The sequence below is a fragment of the Homo sapiens genome, chromosome 18 (genome assembly GCF_000001405.40).
Source record: "Homo sapiens chromosome 18, GRCh38.p14 Primary Assembly".
Classification (NCBI taxonomy): Eukaryota; Metazoa; Chordata; class Mammalia; order Primates; family Hominidae; genus Homo; species Homo sapiens.
In genome coordinates this window covers 45,440,362-45,466,041 of record NC_000018.10, presented here as the reverse complement: position 1 = coordinate 45,466,041, position 25,680 = coordinate 45,440,362, and the positions used below count along the sequence as shown (strand labels likewise).

General features: G+C 43.5%; 1 protein-coding gene and 1 long non-coding RNA gene across 8 annotated transcripts in view, besides 1 other annotated feature; one reads left to right on the top strand and one right to left on the bottom strand.

The window, feature by feature from the left end:
* Positions 1 to 25,680, bottom strand: part of SLC14A2 (solute carrier family 14 member 2) — a 515,726-nt gene that overhangs the window by 217,647 nt on the left and 272,399 nt on the right. The gene's annotated exons all lie outside the window — the stretch shown is intronic.
* The window catches only part of SLC14A2-AS1 (SLC14A2 antisense RNA 1), a 142,177-nt gene that overhangs the window by 41,022 nt on the left and 75,475 nt on the right, over positions 1 to 25,680 (top strand). For all 3 annotated transcript variants that reach the window (XR_007066352.1, XR_007066350.1, XR_007066351.1), the window contains one exon: positions 18,702 to 18,786. This is a non-coding gene — a long non-coding RNA (SLC14A2 antisense RNA 1). The remainder of the gene's footprint in view (positions 1 to 18,701; positions 18,787 to 25,680) is intronic.
* Positions 9,652 to 9,721: an enhancer, noted in NCBI's record as "active region_13262". NCBI's record gives its function as "activates an Ori minimal core promoter by ATAC-STARR-seq in GM12878 lymphoblastoid cells {active_cell/tissue: GM12878}" and the evidence as "EXISTENCE:reporter gene assay evidence [ECO:0000049][PMID:35858748]".

Genomic DNA, 25,680 nt, shown 5'->3' with positions numbered 1-25,680 from the left:
GGGGCATGGCTGATAAAATCTATAGTTTAACCCAATGCCCAGCATTATTTAAAGCACTCAGTAAGTGTTGGTTGTTGTTTTTGTTATTAACAGGTCTTGGGCTACCTAGGAAGTCAGGAGGACACTTTTTTTTTTTCTGTCCAGCAGACATCTCTTATATTTGCAACGTGACACTTTTCTCCATTTTATACTTAGCAATGTGGTTTCCAACGCATCCATGCCCTTCCAGAGTCCTCCCCTATGGCTGTCTCTCAGCCAGCCAGGCAGTTGGCTGCTCCTCCCGTCATAGCTTACCCCTCGCCACAGCTGCTCTACCTCTAGGAAAGCATTTCCTGGGTCAGGTGGGCTCCTAGCTGACTGATTTTGGGAGTCCATTGTCCCAGGCATGCTTTCATGGTTTTCTTGAGATAGGGCCCTGAGGAAGGGAGGAGGAGAAGGATGGATGGATGCATGCATGGATGGATGGATGAAGGGAGGGAGGGAGGCTTCGGGCCCAGGTCTGGGATGACAAGATACTTTCTGCTTTGGGAGGCCAGAGGAGGAGGGAAGAAAAGATCACCTCCATCATGGACTACTGGCCCATGCCCTTCACTGCCCTGTCCTGGGCCTTGGAGAGATGATAGAAAATTGGGATGGGAGGCAAGCCTGGCTGCTTTCACAAAACCCTCTTTGTTACCACAACTGCCAACAGTGCAGCTCCATGAGGAAATGGAGCTGTTTGGGTGCTTTCTTTTATTTTCCCCTCTGCACACATATGCAATTGATTCTGGAGGCACTGCTTCTCTCACTGAACCCCCAAATATCTCCAGAGGTTTGCAAGGGGATGACACTGTGACAGAGATAGTGTTTTCTTCTCTCCGTTTCTTTCTGCATTTCTCTCTCTCTCTGACCCTCCTCTGTCTCACTCTGTATGTGTTTTTTCTCTCTTTAGCTGGTACCTGTGTGACCACCATCTCTTGTCTTCCTATTATTTCTCTAGCTGTCCCTTCCATTGTCTGTTTCTGTCTCTCTCCTTCTGAGGCTGCCCCTTTCCTTGTGCCCTTCCCTACTTCTCTCCTGCCTGCCTGCATTTTGGCTTTCCTTCTCACTGCCATGATGCTGTCACGGTGAGAAGGGGACAATCTATCTGTCAGAGACAGGCTCTACCAACCTCCACCATCTCTCTCCTGCTGCCGGCAATTATCTGGAGGTTGGCATTGGGCCCAGAAACTGCCGCTTGTACCACCCCACGGCTCAGGGCCTGCTCCTCCACACCAGCCCCCTTGGAGGATCACTTGGTGCCGTGCCCAGGATGCGACAACCTGCAAAGGTCACACGCACTCCCAAGAAGATGGACTGCTCTACGAGTGGAACTGACAGTGGGCAGATTTGCAAATGTCCCTCTAGACTTTCTAGCATTCCACAAAGGCAGGCAAAGAGCAGCAAAAAATAGAAATTACACGAAATTACGCACAGCACTGGCCCTCTCCACCTGAACATCTGCCACTCATGCCGGGCTTTATTTCTTTGCTTCTTTTTTTCAAAAGTGGCTTTTGAATCTATCTTATTTGACACAATATAACTAATTCATCCACAAGACTTCATTGAACGTTGACAGTACGCTAGGTACCAGGTGGGAGCTGACCTTACATTTATAGGATGCTGTGCAGTTCTGTAAACAGAGTCACAGCTATGACCTGACACACTCTCTCTCAGAGGTCCATGGGGTTTCAGAGCTGACAGAGACTTGTGAGGTTATTTAATCCAAACCATTTATCTCAGAGATGGGAAATTTGAGGTCCAGAGAAGCTAAGTTACCCTAAATCAGACAGTTAGTTGGTAGCAAAGACCAGACAAGAACTCAGATATTTAGGTTCCTGAGGAAATGTTCGTTTTACTCTTCACCCCACTACTTCTGTTGGGTAGACATGGTGGAATTATTATCCTTTAACAAGGGAGGAAACTGAGCTTCCAGGAAGACAAATGATTCTGCCCAGACCATTTGGTTGTTAGGCGTTAGCGTTCTTGTATCTCATTTATTTTAAAGTATGTTCTTCCAACCAGTCTACTAACCTTGCAAAACATCCTGGTAATCAGAAAAATTAGAAATAGGGTGGGCAGGGCTAATCCTCCTGGACTGATTTGAGCCTTTTCAGCTGGCTCTGAGCAGGGACACTGCTTTCATCAATACGGAGGCAAAGCCCTGTCATAAAGTGCTTAATCATGTTCAACGAGCCTTTTGCCAAGGGTCTGCCATGTGTCACGGGCTTATTACATGGCAGGTTAGCCCATATCCACACACTCTCACTAGGAGATCTTCATGTCCATAGGGTTCAGTGACTAGCTCACCACCTGCCCACTAGGGATTCACCTCTGTGCACTGTGGTACTGCCTCATGCAACACTGGGAAAACCCCAGCCAGAAACGGAAGCATGCACACACACAAAAAGATGACTGAAGGATTCTAGAATGTCCTACAAACCTGGCTACAACCACCCATGCTCCCTGCATGTGTCAAATGTGAAGATGTAGATAAATGGCCTTGCTTTTCGCAATGTGGCCTTTACGTAATAATGGCAGCTGTCATTTATCGAGCATCTACAGTGCATGAGATGCTATGTTAGAGGCTCCCCCCTCATCATCTCCCTTAATCCTCACCATCACCCCATTAAGTAGGGATCATCTTTGTCATCTGTGTCCCTAACTGAACATTTGGGAGACCAACGTCACACAGCTGGTGGGTCAAGCTGCTGGGTGTCGTGTTCAGGCTTTCAAATGACAAAGCTTATCACTGCTCCACACCAGGCTACCCAACTGCCTCCCCCTTTGCCCAATTTACAGGGAACCCAGATTAAGGTAGCAAAGGGAGTACAGGCTTTCTACAGTGAACTCATGGTCCCTGGTTCATGGAAGAAAGGGACAGCAGAGCCACCATGTGAGTAGGAGAAGATGGAACTGGTTATTGCGTCAGGGGTTGGGGTGGGCTGAACCTGCCTGTATACTTCCTGGGCTTCCAAAGATATTCTGTATCAGAGCACATTATAAGAATGGACATTGATCACTCCGAGGGAAACAAAAAGTTAACATACATTCAGCATATTTCGTTTTAAAAGGAGAGAAATCATCATAATGGTGTCATGATAATAGAGGCCATATATTGAGTGCTTAGCAGGTGACAAGCAGTTTGCTAAGTGCCTCACTTCTATTTTACAAAAATCTGCAAAGTAGGCATTCTCCCATTTTGCAGGTGAGGAAATTAAAGTCCAAAGATGTTAAAACAAAACAAAAAAATTAAAAAAAATGCAAAACCAGATTGATTCAGATTGTAACTGTAGAACTGGGATTCAAGTGTCAAGCCGCCTGTTTCCAAAGCTGCTCCATCTACCACGTGGCTCTCAAGGAAGTATACACTGCTGATTAGAAAGCTTTCCTACTAAATAATTAAAATTTCAGAATTATCCCTGTACTTAAAGGGATACATTTCAATTACCTGGAACAGTCACTGAGGCAGAACAGCCTCCCTGACTACACTCTTTCTCTGCTCCGTTTCAAATCACATATCTCAGAACCCTCAGACTCTAGTGGACAATATATGCCTCCTGCCTGGCAGCATCACGAGGGGACCCTAAAGCTAGGGAATTTATGGGCCCTGCTAGACAGTGTACAAGTCCCTTGCCTGCTCGGAATGCAAGTCTCTGGCCCGTGGACTCTCCATGGAAACCAGGGCTTGGTTCCCGCAAGTTGGCTGGCTCTAAAAGTCTATGCCTTTTGTACTGAGGTTTTATTTTCCTTTTTGATGCTGTTATGGGGGACAGTTGAAGAGGAAATTCCCTGTAGTTCAACAGAATCTAGATTTATAGAGTAGTATGAAAATATTTGCCCTGTGTTTGAAACTGCTGAAGAGGGAAAAAGAAACGTTGTTTTCTATGGAATTATGAAAACAGAAACATTGATTGGTTTTGTTTGGGGTTTTTCACTCATTCAATGATAACTTGATGTTTTCTGGTGCTTGGAGAGGGCCAGGTTTCTTCCAGGTAGCACTGGCAACTAGGAAAACTGTGCAGTTTGTTTCTTACGCTTTCTGCTCCACCCTCTGCATCCCTCCTACCACGTCTTCCCTTTTCAATTCCCACCTGCAATAATCCCAGGCCCCACATCACCTCAGACTCTCCCAGGGAGGAAAACAATCTAGCATTAATTCACAGTATTTACGAAGAATTGATGAGTTGCAATCTTTTATAAATTGTTGTCTCTTTTTAAAAAATGCTGAAGATGAGTAATTCTCCTTAACCCAAATATATGATTATGCTCAAACGATGCAATTTTAGGCACTTGTGAGAGAAGTAAGTTTGGGCAGAATTTCAAGGCCTTTTTGTTGCCCTTCATGTCATATCACACAGGCAATGATGGGCTCTGTCTAAATATGAGGCTGATTCTGACTGTGCACATGGATTTTGCTTCAGAACGACCTCTTTACAGAGCTGAAACTATTCTAGGCACTTTGATCTCAAATATCTATGGGAGCCTTTCTAGCAGACTGGAGGGACAGGTCCCAGAGCTTTGTTCCATAAAATAGATGAGGTTCTAAGGAATAGATTGTAGTCTAGAGCTTCTAAAAGATGGTCAGGATGCTGTCCTTTGCAGGGGAGGAAGAAAGAGAAATGCAATTCTCACTAATTAATTGCTCAATTACACCCAACCTAGGCAGCTCCTATCCACCTAGGTTCATCCTCACATGGTCCAGTGTTCCCTAATGCAAAGGAGTATCTCTGAAAGGTAACCACAATGATGCTTTCCCCAATGCAAGTTTTCCCAATGCAATACAAGATTCTAGTAGGCTTAGGTTTACCTCTGTTTGAGCCACTGTGACCTGCAATTTTCAGTATTGGGAAAAGTAAGAAACTGAAGGACATGGGAAAGGTGGAGTAGAAAATAGAAAATAGGGGCAAATTGGGTGGAAGGGAGGAGTGAGTTTTGGGGGGCAATGAAAAGGAATTGTAGAAAATAATCTTGGCCTCAGATGGCCTTTGTGAGGGAGTGGGAGCTGAGATCTCATAGGAAAGGTTGGGTCAGGTGCCTGGACTTAGGACACCAGGTATTGAGAAGGGGTTCATACAACACCTACTCAGCTTCACCAAACAAGTCAAATAAAGGTGAGTCAAAGCCTTTTTTCCTTCCAGCTTCTAAGTCACACTGTGAAACCCAGGAGGCAGAAGCCAATAAAATCTTAAAGACACCCAAGGTCAAGGCCTACTCATTTTAAGTGCTTCTTAGGGTGAATATTTTCTGCCACAAAGCAAAATGGATTTACATGTATCGCATTAAAACTGCAGGGGAGGAAGAACATGAAAAGTTGCCAAGGAGAGAGGGATTGTAAATGGAATTAATAGTACAGAACTCATTAGGGCCCATTATTACTAATTTAAGATACATGAAATGTTAGTGATATTTCCTTTATTTAGCACGTAGCATTTGTTGTTGGGTAGAGTGAACTTTATTAAGGCTTTCTTAGCTTCTCTTACAGTTCAGACCTGCCAACCCTATTTTCCCATAAGTTGGGAGTTTCACAGAGGAAAATTCTTCTATCATGAAGGGCTTTCAGGAACAGTCAGGAAGGTCCCTTGAATCTCAAATTCTGGGCTAACCCTTCTGCAAGGTGGACTGGGCAGCCCTAGTGTGTACATGTGGGGATAGCACCTGAATAGGAAGACTTCATTGGGAGGGTGCTGCAGCATGGAGGTGGTGGTGGGTAGATTGGGTGAAGAGTCAGTGTGTGATTCACAGAGGACCATCAGTAAGGAGTCTCATCTTCTACCTCCTCTCCTTTGCCTGGCTTTGGTGGCTGCCTGAAATGGTGCCATGGTAGAGCCATCATTGGGTGAAGGCAGCATTATTTCCTTTCAGGTGGGAATATGCTTGAGAATGGAATAGATCACTCACATCTTCATGCCAGTGGAAACTCAATCTCTCAGAACCCAATGGCTCTATCTTAGAGAGCAGTTTTAAGTACTAAAGGAAGCTGGAAGAGTCCGGGATATTGGGTGCTGACCAAAAAGATTGGACCTGGATGGGGCAACATGAGAGCCCCAGGTACCTGGTGGGAAATGGGCTAAGGTTTTGAGGAAGGAGATGTGGCAAAGGGGAGGTTGAGGATGTTTGGGCTGAATGCAACCATCTCCAGGTCTCTGCTGTTTTCTCAAATTTGTTTTTCTTACAGCAGAGTCAGGCCACGCTTTCAACGTGTTTATAGGTTCTTATAAATGGGGATGCTACCCTCAAAGGCATGATCGAAGCCACAAACTTAAATGAGAAAGGCCATAGCATGAGAGCTTTTAGTTTCCAAACCTAGTCTCTGAATGTCAGGCCAGGAGGGGGCTGGAGATGTCCCGATTCTGTGTGTGCTTTCTGAGCAGGCTGGTGCACCAGGAACTGGGCGAGGCCCCGGGAATAGCAGGCTGCAGGTGGTATATGCTTTCAGTCCAGCTGCTCACCTTCCTTTCTTCTTGGTTGAGAGAACTAAGGCCCAGACAAGGAGGTGGTGTGCTGAAAGTCACACACCTTCTTTGAGGCAGAGAAGACACACTGGACGTTTGTATGACATCACAGCAACCTCCCCCAGTGTGGCCAAGTGGGAAGCTCTCTGAAGGGTAAAGTCTCTTTGAAATAGGGAGGTGAGGGCACAACAGCACAGAGTTTTATCCTCCTCTACAGCACATGGAGACAAGGTCGAATAAGCCAAAGTCTACAGAGATGGAGCTCAGCAAATGTCCCAGTTGCCGGGGCACTCTTGCTTTGGGGCTGACAAGTAGGCCCTCTCTGTCTCCACCCTAAGACTCTCATTTGCTTAGCGCTTGGAAAGGGGATCCCTGGCAGGCGGTGGTGAAGGGCAAATGACTATCTCCAAGCTTGGCTGGTGCCCTTTCCATTGCTGGGGAGAGTTTGGATTCTAATATTACTCTTATGGAACTACTCAGCAGATGTCCTGCACTGACAAACTCAGGGATCTCTGAAAATCAACCCTTATTCAGAATGGACTGCCACACATTGTCCCTCCATCTCAGGACTTCCCCTGGCTTTCTAGAGAGCACCTTATTATCGTTGTCCTATTTTACTGTCATTTTTACCTCCAAAGTATAGCTTTCGGTACATCAGTATATTCATTGCACCAAACCACTTGTAAATTCTCCAACTTTAGTGGAATTGTGAAAAGTCTTGAGGAAGTTTCATCCGGGTGTCTGTTGACATGTGACTCTACCCTCACTCTCTCTGTCACAGATCCACAAATGTTTGAGGACACTGGGACTCAGAGGCTGTCATGTGGCTAGTAAAATTGCCCTTGGGCAATTTTAAAATTCTCTCTGCATCTTAGTTTCCCCTTCTGTGAAAAGAGGAGGCTGGACTAGATAGGTTCTAAGCTTTCTTCCAGTTATAACTTAATCCACTGAAGTAGAAATGGCTGATGGGCCAGGAGAGGCATTTATAAAATCAAATGCATCAATAGCTAATCATTTCAAGCATGATGTCACAGAGAGAAAACGGAGACTTTTAAGTGTGGGAGTAGAGAGATTTGGGAGTGTGGAGCCCACACAGCCGGAAGGAAAGACTTCTTTCCCTGAGTGTTACCCCGAGTGTGGGGTACCCTGCCAAATAGCTGTAGGCCACTCTGGGTTTTCCTGTGATGCCAGTTTCCCTTTCCTAATGTTCCAAGAAGAACATTTTCATGGAAGACAAATCACTGGTCCTTGACCCCTGTGACAGCAAATGGAGACTAATGAGAGGAGCCAGGACTTACGAGATGCTTTTATATTAATGCCTGTTGCTGCAAACCCTTTCCAGAAAGCTCCTTTGTGCTGCCCAGCTTTTGTTGGCTCCACTCTAGGGGCTGCAGATGGCAGGTGCTAGGCAGCAGTGCTTCCCTTGGGCAGGCATTTCTTCTCTGTCTATCTCCCTTCAGGGATGAGGCCTGAAATCCCCAGCCCAGGCTCTTTGCTATTACCTCACATTCAGAACAAAATCCCAATGTCACATCAGCATTTTTTTTCCAACACCATTCTCCTACGAAGGCTCACATGTGTGTGTCTGCAGCTTCCCTGTCACCTCTCCCGGCAACTTTCCTCCCTGATTCTTGACACTCGTCTCCCCATAGGACAGCATCTGACTCCAGGATGCTTCTTCTCCTCCCACCGCCCCAGCCCCGGGGGTAGCTGCTCTCATGATCTCCATTTTACAGATGGTTTAGACAGACGCACAATTAGGTAGTGACCTGCCCAAGGACACACAGGTAGTAAGTGGTAAAGTCAGAACAGGAAAGCCAGGCAGTCCAGCTCCTGAGCCTGTGTTCTTGGCCATGCAGATTTCCTTTTTTTTTTTTTTTTAACCTCCATAACCTTTCTGATTGCCAGTCACAATGTCCTGGTCCCCAAACAGGTCACTACCAGTGACCCTCTCTAACTTGTTGCTTTCAAACACTGCTCCTAGGATTTTAGAACTCTCAAATGCCTCTGGGCTTGAGAAATGTGGCCCAACTGCAATTCAAAGCAAGCCTCGCCACTTTTATGAAACTCCCTTTGCTACCCGAGCTATGAGCTACCAACACTGAGGCTCCATGGGGAAATGGAGCTGGTTTGGGTTCTTTTATTTGTTCCCCTCTGCACATATATGCAGTTGACTTTGGAGACCCCCTGCATGTTGCTTCTCTCTAAATCCACCACCAGGGACATGCCTCAAACCAGAGATGCTGTACGTCTGGGATGGTAGGGGGGCTTTCAGGAACCATTGTCCAGCAAACTGGCTGAAAAAGGGCTATAGTTGTTTACTGTACTCTATTGATCCAGTCTTAAATAAGATTTAGTCTTATTTGGTAGCTGAATCTGAGACTCAATGAGATTAAATATTAAAAAAACCTTCGTATACTACAAAGTACTAGGCAAAATGTGCTTTGTTATAACTTACTAATATTCAACTTTCACCCAAAGTGGAATTGATTTTTTTTTAATTTGTATTGCTGTGTGCTCCCTAACTAGGAGGAGATCCTGGCAGCCCTGAGGTCTCCAGGTCCCTGTATCTTGTGGGTCCTGCAGGGATGTCCTCTACAAAGGCTCCGTCCCTCCAGGCACATCTTGGGTGGAATAATAGAGCATTTCCTCATGCTTCCCAACCCTACTGCCCAACTTGCATTTATTCCAAAGGCTGTCTTTACCTCAGCTTTGAAAATCTGCAACAGCCCTGCAGCTGGGAAGAGAGTATATCATTTGGCTTTTTGCCCAGAAAATAAGATGCTTCAAAAAGGTCATCCAAAAAAAAAAAAAAAAGTCTCCTGGGGAAGAAAAGGAAAAAAACACCACTCTCTCAAGGTTAATTGAGTGGAAGGTGAACTTTCATCACAAGCCATCCCTTTGAGAAAGCTACACGTCCTCCAGTACGTGGAGAGGGTAATTCACTGGAGACATGGACTGGGCTGCAGTGTGAGAACACATTGCTCTCTTAGAGCTGGCCCCAATCCCTGAGCACTTGGAGAGAGTGTCTTCACCATGGAGGAGCAGATGGGAGGTGCAGACATGCAGCCACCTTACTGAGGAGCCCAGGCCTCTACAGGAACAGAGGTGTAAGGCTGGACTCCTGCCTTCAGGGAGCTTTTGCTGTTGTGGATGCAAGGAGACTAACAGCCAGCATAAAATGGATAAGAGGACAAACAGCATCCCCTGGGGGCACTGACTCTGCAGAGCTCTGGGTGCTTAGAATGAGCTGGGATGAATGGTCGCAGATGGTGCTGCTCTGAGTTATGAGAAGCCTGACTGGAGACTTAGCACTTCCTCTTCCTCTTCCTCTGCCTAGCCCTGTGGTTCTGAACAGGGGATGATTTTAGCCCCCAGGGGGCATTTGGCTATGTCTGGGGACACTTTTGATCGTCACAGCTGGGAGGGAGGTACTACCAGCACCCCTTAGGTAGAGGCCAGGGAGCTTCTAAACATTCTACAATGCACAGGTGAGCCCCCAGAGTAAAGAGTTACCCAAACCAAAATGTTAATAGTGCCCAAGTGAACACTATTAACTGGTCTAGAACTAACTCCCAGCACCCTCATTCACAAGACTTCCTCTTTCCTTTACTTTAGGTGTGTGCTCAAAGCCCCCTTACCAGAAATCCCTTCACAACCATCTTACAATAAGAAAATACCCATTTCTCACTCCATCACTCTTTCTCCTATATCTTGCTTCAAGTTTTTCATAGCTTTTGTCTAATATACGTAAATGTATCTGTGTTCAACTGTTTATAGGATTGCTGCCCTCTTACACTAGAATGTAAGTTCCATGAGACCACAGACACTGTCACTTTTGTTCATTACTCTAGTCCCAATGTCTAAAACAGAAGATGCAGCAAATGCTCAATAGATTTTTTTTTTACTTTATTATTATTATTATTATTATGCTTTAAGTTCTGGGGTACATGGCAGAATGTGCAGTTTTGTTACGTAGGTATACACGTGCCATGGTGGTTTGCTGCACCCATCAACCCATCACCTACATTAGTTATTTCTCCTAATGCTGTCCTTCCCCTAGCCCCCCACCCTCTGACAGGTCCTGGTGTGTGATGTTCCCCTCCCTGTGTCCATGTGTTCTCATTGTTCAACTCCCACTTGTGAGTGAGAACATGTGGTGTTTGGTTTTCTGTTCCTGTGTTGTTTGCTGAGAATGATGGTTTCCAGCTTCCTCCATGTCCCTGTGAAGGACATGAACTCATCCTACTTTATGGCTGCATAGTATTCCATGGTGTATATGTGCCACATTTTCTTTCTCCAGTCTATTGTGGATGGACATTTGGGCTGGTTCCAAGTCTTTGCTATTGTGAATAGTGCTGCAATAAACATGTGTGTACATGTGTCTTTATAGTAGAATGATTTATAATCCTTTGGGTATATACCCAGTTATGGGATTGCTGGGTCAAATCAATATTGTGAAAATGGCCATACTGCCCATAGTAATTTACAGATTCAATTCTATCCCCATTAAGCTACCATTGACCTTTTTCACAGAATTGGAAAAAACTACTTTAAACTTCATATGGAACCAAAAAAGAGCCTGCACTGCCAAGACAATCCTAAGCAAAAGGATCAAAGCTGGAGGCATCACGCTACCTGACTTCAAACTATACTACAAGGCTACAGTAACCAAAACAGCATGGTACTGGTACCAAAACAGATATATAGACCAATGGAACACAACAGAGGCCTCAGAAATAACGCCACACATCTATAACCACCTGCTCTTTGACAAACTTGACAAAAACAAGAAATGGGGAAAGGATTCCCTATTTAATAAATGGCATTGGGAAAACTGGCTAGCCATATGCAGAAAACTGAAACTGGACCCCTTCCGTACACCTTATACAAAAATTAACTCAAGGTGGATTAAAGACTTAAATGTAAGACCTAAAACCATAAAAATCCTCTAAGAAAACCTAGGCAATACCATTCAGGACATAGGCATGGGAAAAGACTTCATGTCTAAAATACCAAAAGCAATGGGAACAGAAGCCAAATTGACAAATGGGATCTAATTAAACTAAAGAGCTTTTGCATAGCAAAAGAAACTATCAGCAGAGTGAACAGGCAACCTACAGAATGGGAGGAAAATTTTTGCAATCTATCCATCTGACAAAGGGCTAATATCCAGAATCTACAAAGAACTTAAACAAATTTACAAGAAAAAGACATTTCTTAAGTTAGTCAATGAATGGATGCTAGCCCCAGACAGCTCTGTGAACCTGGATCGGTCACTTAACTAGTCTAACATGCATTCAGATCCTCATGTTAAAAAAAAGGAAGTTGAGGATTAGAATGTTTCATTGTGGATTCCCCACCCTTCCCCAGCTCTAAGCTTCTTTGATTCTACAAGAAAGCAGAACTTGGGCTGGGTACAGTGGCTCACACCTGTAATCCCAGCACTATGGGAGGCCGAGGTGGGTGGATCATGAAGTCTGGAGTTGGAGACCAGCCTGGCCAACATGGTGAAACCCTGTCTCTACTAAAAATACAAAAATTAGCTGGGCCTGGTGGCATGCGCCTGTAATCCCAGCTACTCGGGAGGCTGAGGCAGAAGAATCGCTTGAACCCGGGAGGCAGAGGTTGCAGTGAGCCGAGATCATGCCACTGCACTGCAGCCTGGGTGACAGAGTGAGACTCTGTCTCAAAAAAAAAAAAAAAAAAAAAAAAAAAAAACAGAAAAGAAAAAAGAAAGCGGAACTTGCTATGGGAATTTTGGTTGAGGGAGAGGGCAGGTTTCAGTAAGGGAGGCACTGTGAATGCAAGATGTGCATGTTTGAGTCCCTACCTCATGTGGATGCAGTGAGTGGCAGCTATTGTTATCTACGCAGAATGACACTAGCCTTAGGCACAAAGTTCACAGGATCACAAAAATACTCAAGAATTACAAATAATATTTTAATACAATATTTAAAAATGAAAGTTAATGCAAAAATCTATAATAAATGAAACACCAAAATGTTAAAGACAGGATTGTATTACTGGTTTTTCCTTTTGCTATGGGCTCCAATCTGGCTCAACACAGCACTGCTACTGATCCTGTCTTTATTTAAACATTTTGATACTTTGCTTATCATAAATTTTTGACATTAATTTTTGATTTTAAAAATGCCCTGGAAGCTGATTTGTCCTGATTACTGAGATTTTTGTCACCTCTGTCAATTTTGTGCCCAGAGTGAGTTGCCTCACTTGGTTTGCCCTAGTTCCTGCTCTCAGCCAGGGGATGCCGGAGAGCAATGGGCACAGCTAAAGGCAGAGGGGAGCCTCCTGCCATTCATCCCTAGGGAAGAAAAATGGTGAGAGTTTTGGGGACAGCTAGTGGGACCTTGGAATTTGAGGGCTGGGCTTCCCAGGCAGAATGAAGCTGAGTAGGTGGGTCTGAATTTCCAAGTGAAAAAGCAGAAGATATCCTCAAGGCTAGAGGAGATCTAGGTCCTGGTTTGACTGGGACATTCCTGGTTGCACCAGTTGTCTCAAGGCAGTTATTAACAGTGCCTCATCTTGCTCTCTAAGATGTCCGGGGTTGAACACTAAGTATATGGTCACCCTGGGCCAGGCTGCTGTCTAAGCAATTGCTTCAGTGGGCCACTCCTGAGCACTACAAAGGAGAAAGATATTGCCCTTCACTTGAGTTCTAATCTCTGTGGATCTCTGGTGCTGCTGAAGAATGCCTCAAACACCACTTTCAACCTCAGCTAAGCTTCATAGCTCTTAGCCTTTGCCGTGTAGCTATTTTTTATGTGTGTGACCTTACCCTTGTCTTGCTAGAGTCTTAGCCCCTCATGGCTTTGACTTGTGACCTACTGCCAGCTCCACAGAGTGGCTGTCCCAGGAGCCACACTCACAAAGAAGCATTTTTGTGAGTGCATGGCGTTTTTCTAGTCCATGGTGTTGGAGAGAGAAATGTAAATGACAAGAAAAATAATAAACACATAAAATTAATGTCAGACTTTTTAAAGGCCTAATTTCTATGGCATTCACCTAATGTTAGAGTCCTTCTTTGTTGCATTGTTTCCCCTGAACCTAAAATGTAGATATTGGCTAAAATGTCACGTACCCAGTAAGAAATACTAAATTCCATCTCACTCACACACAAACAATGGATGAAGGACATAGTATGTAAAGTCAAGTGGTAATAAGTACTGAAACCAAAGGGATGTGCACTCTTGGATGATTGGCAATAATGCACTTTAAAAAAATTCACTGGTGTTTCATTATCCTTGTATTTTGGGTTGTTAGTACCCCAAGTGCTGGGTTTCATATTTTATAGGCACTGTCCTGTTTAGTAAATGGCAGACCTGGGATTCAAATGCAGGCATCTCTGAGTCCAAGCTTTTGGCTAAACTTCTACAGTGTCTTGCCTCTCATCCAGGATCAAATCAGAACTTGAGAGTGTCTCTTACACACACATCGTGTCCTCTGTCAAAGGGACATGTGACCAGATATCCCCCCAGCTGTCCCCACTCTTGAGTACCCCCCATATTTTTGATTTGAAAAATATTGCATTGAAAGATGATTTGTCTTGATTACTGAGCTTTTTGTCATCTCAGTCAATTTTGTGATTAACTAAGGTTCTGATTAACCATGTTCTGGTTAACTGAGGTTTGACTTGCAGAAAGGGCAAACAGATAAATTGGGAAGCAATCATTAACCGAACCCATAATATGATCTTTCAAAACAGAATGTACTTGGTCTTTTGAATAGTTTGTTGCTGAACCATAATTCTTAAAATTCTCAGATAGGAAAGGAATTTAGGAGTCATCTGGTGTAAATATCTTTGACTATTGAGTTGAGATGCCAAGAAATTTAAAGAAAAATGGTTTATTGGAGTGCAATTGCAGGCATAGATAAACTGTCTCTAAGATGTAATGTGAACGTGAATAAGAGAAAAGGGAGCTTATTAGCCTCAATTTAATTATTTTTTATTTATTTTAAGTTGGGCTTTTATATTCAATTTTGGGAATAAGAAAATTTCATACAATGAAATTTCTTCCCCTCTTTTAAATAAACAAAATCCTACCCATTCTTCAAATTCTAATTTAATTCTAAGCTTTTTCATGGAACTCTCCCAAGGATCAGATAGTTATTTTTCCTTCCTTTGAATTTGTATTTTTCTTAGTCTTCACTATGGCACTTAGCATTTAATTGTTGAATTGCTTTCTGATACTTTTATTCTTCCAAATTGAACGCATTAAGAATGCAGGAAGTGTATCTTCAACTTCTTGCTCCCCGAGAACCCCCTCTCTTAGGGACAGGCTTTCAGCAAGTTCTTTCAGGGCCCTGCCTATTTTCAACTGGGCATTCAGTTGAAAATCCCTGAAGGGGTCAGGGTTAGTTGACTGGACCATTCAACTAACTTACAGCTGCCAATATTGACCTCTCTGTGCTTGAAGGCTCTTTTTCTTCAGCATCAATTGTGGAAAGCTTACTGTTTTTATATATGGCAGGCCAAAACTTCAAGGAATTATTACTCCTCAGGAGCAGTCCTCAAACCAATGGCTCTTGGGAGCTGGTGTATAAACACCGTGGCTCCCTTGTCCTTTGAAGTGGTTGAGCCATGTGTTTTGCACCATTTCCCAGAGCTTCCCCAAGAGTTAAGGCTCCAATGGCCCACAGTAGCAGCTGGCTAAATGATGGACCCTTTATTCTCTGCCTTTTCTCCTCATACTACCTTCCCCATTTGTCTCCTGGTGTTACCTGCAATTCTTGACTGAATGGTTTGCACTCAAATCCTTTATCTTCAGGGTCAGCTTCTGGGGTAACTCAAACTAAGACAAGCACAGAGGCTACAGTTAATATTTACTTGTTGATCAGATAATTAATAGACTGTCAGAGTGTAACCTTGCAGATATGGGGATTGTGCATTCTGTATTCAGAGGGCGTGATGTTATCCCCTGCAGTGGTACTCATTTAATTCTAGTTGAATGGAACAACAATGATGGTCAAGGGTCCCACCCTAAGTTCATCTGGTTCTGTTCACTAATCTGTATTTGTGATCTATTACTGACTCTGGTAAGCAGTGGAGAGCCAAGGGGAATTATGTCAAACCCCTATAACCCCTCTCCCATCCCTGCTGCTACCAGCTGTATATAATTCTCAAGTTGTATTGTCTTCAGAGTGATTACCTCCTGACAAGGCCAAGAAGAAATGTTGACCCTGGGTTAAGACTAAACCAAAGGCCCCTTCCCTTTAGAAGCCTAAAAGGATGGGAAAATGCACACCAGCAAGATGTTTCCTAACAGGGCCATGTCAAATTTATAGATAAATAAAATATCAAAGATCAAATGAGGCTAGATCAGCAGTTTGGACCTCTCCGCAACCAAGCAGAGAATGTGCTGTCTGACTCTGTCTTGGACTGATTTCCAGTTTTGTGATTCACAGCTGCAGCCAGGCAGAGCACATCCAATAATGCTATTTGTTTTCCACTTTTTAAAAAAGGCTGGGGAAATATATAAATGGTTCATAGAAGAAGCGGGCATTAGCAGACAGTCTGACCATAGTGAGACAGGCAGATGGTTCATGGGACCGATGCCAGCTGGGTGTTTCTGTAAGTGATCGTGTATCTCTTCTCTGTGTCCCAGCTCTCAGCTTGATTAAGAGGTCAGAAGGAGGCTTCTGCAGCATGAGGCTGGAGCACACATGATCTATGACCAATCTGTTGGTCGCCTAGAAACAGCTCTCTAAAAAGGCCCAAAGACAATTCAGTTTATAAGCCCACACGTTTTGGGCCTAGTAGTGCTGGCTGCTATTAAAACTAAGTTTGATTCTTGGGGTTTGTTTTCCTGAATGCCACTCAGCCCCTTTAACTTTTACGCCCCATCAACTCCTTCTCTTCTTAATATGATGGTATCATTTGGTAAGTGGAAACACCCTTCAGATGGGATTCTGGGAAGTGAGTGAAGCAAGCAGGCAGTTAGGAGAAAGAAGGGGTCAGGGAAAACTGGGTGAGGTCTGATTTTCCCTTTCTGCACTTGCTGAGGCCTGACTGGGTGTCCAGCACTGGGGGAAGATGTAGGAAAAGGAGACTCCATCGTCTTTCCCCGGGCGCAGGAAGTTTATGTGTATGAGGCAGAGTAACCCAAGGATGCCAAGGATCCAAATGAGAGGTATGAACAATGTGTTTTGGAAATGGTCAGAGTTGGGGTCAGGAGAAGGCTTCAGAGAGGAGGTGGAATGTGGGATAGGTGAGATTCTCATAGGTGAAGAAGTGGGATTTGCAGAATTGCCCCTCACCCTCCACTAACCTTTGGAAAGTCTCAATCTATATGCTCTTTCATAGTCTTTATCCTTGTTTGTCTGAAGAGCACAGGATGGTGAACTGTCCAGACAAAGGACTCAAAGAAAAAAGATGCTCAGGCAATATACTGCAGGGCAGATGAAGCACTGGCCTGCCTGGAATGGGCTTTGAGGCTTTGCTCATTGATTTGCCAGTTAAATCCCACTCTTGAGTGATTCTCACAGCTGACCTGAATGCCCTTTGGGATGGCCACCTGCTGGCTGCACCTTCCTCTGCTTATGTCCGCTCCACATGCCCATCTGCTCTGTTACAGATTCCGGTCAGTGATCCTGGACTGAAATTTTACTCTCTCTCCTGATCAGAAAGGAAAGTGATTGTGCTTTCCAACTATAAATCTATTTAGTAAATATTTACTGGGTACCTACTTTTAGCAAGGCACCAGGGTAAAAATGTTTGAAGATCTAAAAATCTGCAAATACAGTCTGTCTCTTTCCTCAAAGAATTTGCAGTCTCTTCATGGAGTGGAGTTAAAAATAAATACATGAATGAAGATGCTGCAAGCCAGTGAGATATGCACCCAGAGAAGAGTAAGCAATGAGGTGGGAGTTAGAGGGAGGAGCTGTCACTTCTGGATGGAGGGACAAGGGCAGGTTTTTTGGGGAAGAGTCTGCGCAGAGCAACAGGACTTGAAATTGAGGGAAGGCAGAGCTCTAGGTTTTATCTAAAATTCTGCATGTGGAGTGGCAGTTAGTAGAAGCTGATTCTCATGTCATTTCTTTCTCAAATCATTTCATGTGTTTTCATTACTGAAAACAACCCATCTAAAGGCCATGATAACTTCTGGAAAAAGTCCATGCTAATTTCTGGTTTACCTAGAGCTCTCCCAGTTTACATATTATTAATTAACCTTCTTTCATTGTACAAACTGTCATGGTTTGAGAAATGAATTATATAGGCATCTTAATTCTTGACAATGCTTTCAGCAGCCTTTCAGAAATTCTAAGGTCACAATGTTGGATTAGCTGTTTAAGCTGCAAGCAACATGGTAGATTTTGGGAAGGGATGTAAGCTTGAACCAAGAAATCCCCTTTATTTTGCTTCTAAATCAACATATACAAATCAACAAAAATAAAAAGCCAAGGCACCCTTTTTGCCTAGAATAGAAGCAGGTGGGTGTGCCAGTCATACACTCATTGCTGAGGTATGCTGATAACACAGCAATGATCATGGATAATCTATTAACACACTTGAGCCATACTCAGTCTTGTTTTGCAGATAAACATAGTCTGTGATTATTTTACAACACTGTTAAGGTGCAGAGGGTTGTCCCTCATTTATTACTTGACTAATAAATACTTTAATTACACTTAATAAATAATGTAAGCAGGGCTCACTGAAGTGGTAATTCTTTAAATTAATTATTAACTGCATGCAAAAGGCTGCACTGCCAGTACCACTAAAAGAAAATTCAGGCTTTAATCTAGTGATTATTCATTATCTGGTATAAAGGCTCCATTTGCATATTATTAGGGAAATAAACTTCGGCCTCCTTGGCAATACAGATAGATCTCAAAGTCCATGCATTATGAATCTCCAAATACTAAAGCAATGATAAACAATATGTAATAAAATCCTCAGTTTATAGCTTTATAGCAGCTGGTTTTTGATTTTTCAAATATATTACAATGATAAAGTGACCAGTTAATGTATAAGCTCTTTGTGAAAGGTGGTGCCTACAGATGGTCGACTGATAGGAAACAGTAAATGTGCAAACTGCTCATTTCCCTTGAGATTGGAGTCATAAAGTGATCTCAGTAAGATATGAGAAGAAAATACCCATTTAACCCCTTTCTCTGCAGCAACCCAAACATGGTAGTGCACTGAATTGTTTTGTATGTGTCTGTTTCTCCTCTCCTCTCTGGCTTCACATCTTCACTTTGGAAAAGTGAAAGCGGAATACCTGGTTATCCGGAGGTCACTGTCTCCACACAGAGTGGTGTCCTTGATGCTAGCTTGGGGCAAAGAAGCCAGGTAAGGTTGTCATCAAAAGAGAAAGATGATTTCTAAAACCAGCAAAAGGCTAGAATTTGTGTGCCCTTGCATTTTCTAGCTTGATACTCCCTCCTTGAGTCTGGGCAGCTCCCAGGGGAGGTGACTGACTACCCCCACCCCCCATCCCTCCCACCAGGAGCTATGGCCAAAGAACAAGCACATGAAGCAGCCTCCCAACATCCCAAACTAGAAAGTGCTGAGACCAAATCAATGAATCAAAAACAGGTTTCCAGAGGAGAATGAGTCTCTCTTCCTCTGCTTCTTTTAGGACAAAGTGGAGGTGGGGATGAGAAGCAGGGTGGGGAGGGGGAGAGGGAAGGAGATAGGAAGCCGAGGGCTCATGAAAATGCTGACAGTCACAAGGAAGCAGGAATGACCTCTCTTCCCATTTCCTATTCTGTCCTATTCATCTTGCTGAGCCCCATTTTGGGACTACTTCTTTCCAGTGGTCTTCCCTAACCCCCTATTCATTTCAGTAGTCACCTATAGTGTGGACCAGTCAATACTGCACAGACCTGTGCGAGGTGGGGAAAGGGCTGCAAGAAGATGAGTTGTGTCCTTTAAAGTGGACATTTTGGGAGCTGAAGCTATTTCAATAATGCTGATACTACTCCAAATAGTATTGATAGATAGATCTGCTTTTCATGTTTGTATTGGTCAGCTTGGGCAGCTATAACAAATATCATCAATTGGATGACTTAAACAAAAGACAGTTTCTCTCACAGTTCTGGTGGCTGGAAGTCTAAGACAAGGGTGCCAGCATTGTTGGGTCTTTGGTGAGGGCTTTCTTCCTGGCTTGCAGACAGCTACTTTCTCACTGTGTTCTTATGTGGTGGAAAGAGAGAGCTCTGGTCTTTTTCTCTTCTTATAAGGACACTAATCCCATCATAGGGGCTCCACCCTAATGACCACATCTTAACCTAATCACCTCACAAGAGCTCCAAATCCAAAACCCATCATATATGGGGTTAGGGCTTCAACATATGAATGAGGAGGGCACAAACATTCTATCCATAACAATGATCTTCTGAACATATTCAATGAGAGAACAATTATATTAACAATAATCACACTCTTTAACTGAGCGTGAACCCTGTGTGCCAGGGGTTTCACTTACATTATCTCATATTATCCCCATGGTGACAGCAAGAGGTAAATATCATTAATCCTTTATAATGGAGAACACTAAGATTTTGGAGAAAATTATATAGCCTAAGTTAGAACCCAGTGACTCCAAAGCCAAGGCTTTAATGTCTTTGCTTACTGCTCTGCCTTCTGAAGGTAGAATAATCAGTGGTTATTTCCCAAAAGAACCACTTTCCTGAAAGTGTTCCTTTCCACGTGTTACTAATGTGGCTTCTCTAGGCATTTTCTTTAGCTCAAAGAGAATTCTAAGAGTAGGAATTTTAGGCACACTACAGGTTAGTGGGATAATATTTGGGAGGGAAGGGCCTCATCTGCCTCTTGATATCATGCCATAAAGGCAACTGCCTACTCCATCTGTGATATCTGCATAGGGCCAACTCTATTCTCATCTAACCTAATCTGTAGCTTGTTGGGCCACTAACTTCAATTAATGTTTGCACATATTACTCATTCAATCTTTCAATCATTCCTATGAGCTAGGTTGGTATTCTTATTATTCTTGTTTTAAAGATGAGAAAACAAGCAGAGAGAGATTGGGCAATCTCCCCAAGTTTACACAGCAAGTGAAGAAAAGACCACCACAGACTCAAATGTAGGCATCTTTGTTTTTATCACTAAAGAATAAACAGTTGGATCCTCCATCACAAATGTCTCTTACGTCCTATCAAAAATGGTGTCAGGCCAGGCTTGGTGGCTCACGCCTGTAATCCCAGCACTTTGGAAGGCTGAGGCGGGCAGATCATGAGGTCAGGAGTTCGAGATCTGCCTGGCCAACATAGTGAAACCACATATCTACTAAAAATATAAAAATTAGCCAGGCATGGTGGTGCATGCCTGTAGTCCCAGCTACTTGGGAGGCTGAGGCAAGAGAATTGCTTGAACCTGGGAGGCGGAGGTTTCGGTGAGCCAACGTTGTGCCACTGCACTTCAGCCTGGGGAACAGAGCAAGACTCCGTCTTAAAAAAAAAAAAAAAAAAAAAAAGCATGTCAATTTGCCACAAAGAGTTAAACATCTGCACATTTACTCCCTTACCTACAAGATTCCCATCATCCATTTGTTTTGCATTCCTTCATAGTTCCATTCACTCATTAATTCATTTAACAAATATTTTCGAAGCACATTACTTGGTACCAGTCATTGTATTAGATACTGGCTATCAAATCCAAGTTTACAAAAGGAAATTGAACCAATGGGCTATTAGCTGAATTGACAACGTGATCTAATGACTTTGATGTTGGTAGAGACCTCTCCACTTTCTCCACCTCTCATAGGCTCCCTGAGAGAAGTAGCTTTAAAAAGAGCTGTCGATGCACACCTACCTGTGCGGCTCGCCACTGGCTCCCACTTTTAAAGAGATGATGGCATGATTTCTGATTACAGCCATTAGATAAAATGAAATAGAGAAAGCTGGCTCACCAGTTTCATCCTGCTTAATCAAATAGCCTAATTCATCATATTCACTCACATGATAGTGCCTTTCCACACTTCAAAGACAGGCATGCACAAGCCCAGTTCAGGTTTCCATCCAACGGCAACTCACTCCTTTTTAAATATGGACAGATCATCTTTTCTTCTTTATTTTCCCCCTTCTGAAAACCTATTTCAGATCCAGCCAGGAAGAAACCTATGCTGGGGATAGCATTATCCTTCATGACAGAATTCAGCAGAATTTCTTTCTTACTGACTTTGGGGCTGGAGTGGGGTCTGAGCCAGGATCAGAATATCAAAGTATGTCAGAACTGGCAGGGTCCACAGGGAGAAGGTAGTGCATCCACTCACTTTACAGATAAGAAAACCTACAAGATTGCCACAAAGCAGGAGCAGAGCTTCAGCTTCCAGACTCCCTAGCCAGAGCTCTCAACTTGTCTTATCTCTAGGATTGCTGTTAACACCTCAGAAAACCTTAGAACAGGGCTTCCAGTTGGTTCTTCAGTACACGCACAAAAGTCTGCCTTCAGATACATTGCTGATGGTTCCACAGAGGATCCAAACTTTCTTTATGATAGAAACAAATTTGCAGCATTGGTAATGGTTACTCTACTGTGCTTCCATTTCTTCTCCCTTGTCCTCTTTACTTTTTCCAGGGACCCACTCTCCATGTGTGTTTCCAGGAATTTTGTACTGCTAATTGCACCTGTTTTCTCTCCCTAAGGCCTGGATTATGGAAAAGACTACTCTGGATAGGCTTCTTTCTCCTTCCCTTTCAAAGAGCCTCTGCACCCAGCTGACTATTATTATTTCAAATGAAGAGAGGGAATGCCTTACACCCTTATTCAAAATGAGATCTGAGTGACTGATGTAGGGTCTCAGAAAAACATACCCCAAAACAAATCCCTCAGAAGCAAAAGTCTTTCTCTGACCTGCCCTCCTCTCTCTGCCTCTCATTCTTCCCAAGGCTAGCCATAGAAACTAGAACCCCTCTGCCCTACAGAAGATCACAGAAACTAGAACTCCATTTCCCCCAATCCAGCCATAAAACCTACAAAGATTACTCTAACTCTTCCCCCACCCCCACTGCCTTTCTGTGTAAATCAAGATGGCCATCAAGAAATTATCTGACCTATCTTCTTTGACTGTAGGTCATAAGACCCCCATTCCAGAGACAGTTCTGCCACACATCCACGGAAAGATTGTGTGTTCAAAGAGGCCAAGAAGAATCTAGACAGACAGGCCTTACTGGGCATCCCCAATCAGTCCATTAGCATCAGATGATGCCTTTTTTTGTCCAGTTGTATTTCTACATAGTTATCCTTACTTTGCTGAACCTAAGCATAAAAATAGACAGTTTTCCCTGCATCTTTGGGTCTTCATTTTGAAAGCTCACAAGTCATGGAAAACTATGATCACACACATTTATATGCCTCTTCTCCTATTAGTTTGCCTCTTGTCAGTGATTTTCAGTGAATCTTCAGAATGTAAACCTTCACCTTCCCCTTCCCCTTCAGTGAACCTACACTGCCAACTAATATACTGGGGAAACTGTTAATTTGAAACAAGGATAAATCTCATGGTTAAATTTCAGTGGGTTTAGACTTTGGAGCAAGGAGACTTTCCCAAATAGTTTTCAAAACATGCACATATAAAACCATACATATGTGCACAGCTGGCCCACATATTGACATTGTGTAGACACAGTCTAAAAGCTTCAACAACCTAGCACCTGCCAATCCCCATGCACAGACACATCCTGGGCAACCTAGACAATATGGTTGATGTATACAGGAGGGAATTTTTTTCTAGCTACCTGACTTAGTTAAAGATAAATCTTTAGCAAATGAAGGCTTAGCAAACAATAACAATAGTGATAGTAGCTTCCTTTATGGAACACTTAATTTGTAATTAAGCTTTATATACATCTCACTTTTTTTTCTGACAAGCCTTTTATGAATTGATTGTATCTTCCCAAAATTCATATGTTGAAGTCCTAACTCTTAATATATTAGAGTATAATCTTATTTGGAAATAAGTTTATCCCAGATGTAATGAGTTAAGATAAGGTTATAATGGAGTAGGGTGGGCTCCTAATCCAACATAACCTGTGTCTTAATAAAAAGAGGAAATTTGGATATAGAGACATACACAAAGGGAGAATACTGTGTGAGGATGAAGGCAGAGATCTGAGTGATGCCTTGACATGCCAACGAAAGTCAAAGATTGCCAGCAAACCACCAGAAGCAAGAGGAGAGACATGGAACAGAATCTTCCTCACAGTCTCAGAAGGAATGAACTCTATCAATACCTTGATCTCTGACTTCTGGACACCAGAAGTGTGAGACAATAAATTTCTGTTATTTAAGCCATCCAGTTTGCGGCACTTTGTGATGGCAGTGCTAGCATACTACCACAAAGCCTTTGAATAGTCCTATCCTCATTTTATCAACAAGGAAACTGAGGCTCACATCAGTTAAATAACTTGCCCAAGACCACATAGCAGGTAAGGAGCAAAGCCAGTATTCAAACTTGGATCTGCATGCTCTGCTCCTTCTCAGGTACGGGAAATTGTGTTGGTAAAAGCTAGGAAAGGCTAGTTTTTCCTCCACAACAAGCCAGATATGATACATCTTCCTTGTCAGCCTGGAATAGGACAGCCAGTTCTCCCAGGTCACACTCCCATCACTAATAGCACTCCGGGGTCTGTTGTCTACTTTTTTCATGTTTCTCCTTGTTCAGCAATTAACAGAATCCCAAATCAAATGCCAAGGGATGACATTAGAAAATAAAGTTTCCCTCTTCAATCTTCTCGTTTCATTTCTTTAGCCCTGAAAATGCACTGGAGGCCCCCAAATGCAGTGCATGCTTCATATTGTTTCTGAGAGAGCAAATTCCTAAATTCATCTGGGCTGGGAAGGAAAGCCAAGATTAAACCTAAAATGCTTCCTCATTCCTGGTTTCTGTGGCCAGAGTACCTCCTTGCCCTCTGGCATCCATCCATGTAGATGTCACAAACACACATGTATGGGCATGCGTGCACGTGTGCATGCACACAAACACAGAGAAAAGTTGAACTTGGCTCTCTCACTGAAGCCAAACAGACCAGATTCCTCCTAGGCCTCCTTGTCTTACTGCCCTTCCAGCACTAAGCACTGGTGGTCCCACACTTAGGAGTGTTCTCTCACCCTGTCTCCTGAAGCCAAGATCCATGGCGGTCCTGGGTAATGGCTATGGCATTCTTCTTTTAGGGTTTTGACTGGGTGGAGAAAAGGGGAGTGTGAGGGCAGAGAAATGGCAGCCCGTTTGGATTTTATTCCATTTCCAAATCATTTGAATATCATGCCCCTCCACAAGAGGGCACATGTAGACTTATCCTTGGAATCTCTGCTTGAAAGAGCCATTTCTTAGCATTTCCCAAGCTGAAAAATTATGTAAAACTACATTTTAAAAAGGCACCTTGTTATTTTTCTGAGCAGTGAGGCTGGAACATTGGCATAAGTAGAATGCAGTCAAAGACAGCCAAAGTGGAAAAAGAGAGGGCATGGCTGTCCGAGGGAAGGGACAGTTGGGAGCAGGCAGAAGCAGTCAGATGGTTTCAAATCCACAGTTCAGCTCCAGAGATTGGGCAAAAATAGGAGACCAGAAATAGAGAAGTCAGTCAATGGCAGATCAAAACACAATGAAGCACGAACACGGCAGCCTGGATGATCCTCAGGGAGGATGCTGTTTATTGTCTTTTTATTCTCCCGGCATTTGAGTCCTAGAGCAATGCTGGACTGAGACCTAAGGACTCAAAGTGTCTCAATTCCTGGTAGGTTCTCACCTATGACTTAAGTGACAATAGCAACAGCCGTTTCCCTTTATTGCATAATGTCTCTGTGTTCTGGGTTGCTCCAAGTGCTTTATTTTTTATGTAAGTTCTATTACTCCCCTCATTACAGATGAGAAAATGGAAGCTTTGAGAGAGATCAGTTTTCCAAACGTCATGTACCTTGTAAGTGATAGTGCCAGGACTCCAGTTAGGAATGTCTCATTCTTGGAATTCTGTCTACTAAGTCAGGAACACACTTTTAAAGCTGTAGTCTTCAGCCCATGTCCTCTGGTAGGTTTGCCTCCCCCTGCCTAGGCTTACTGGGTTCACCTTCCACTAAACTGCTGATGTGGACATGTGGTCTGGCACCCAGAGACACGTTCTGATTTCCAACAAGCTGGAACAGCTCTGCTGGTGAGGAGTGAAAGGAAACCCAGACTACCCAACTTCTCATCTCTATGGTCTTGGAGTAAGTGTCTGTTGA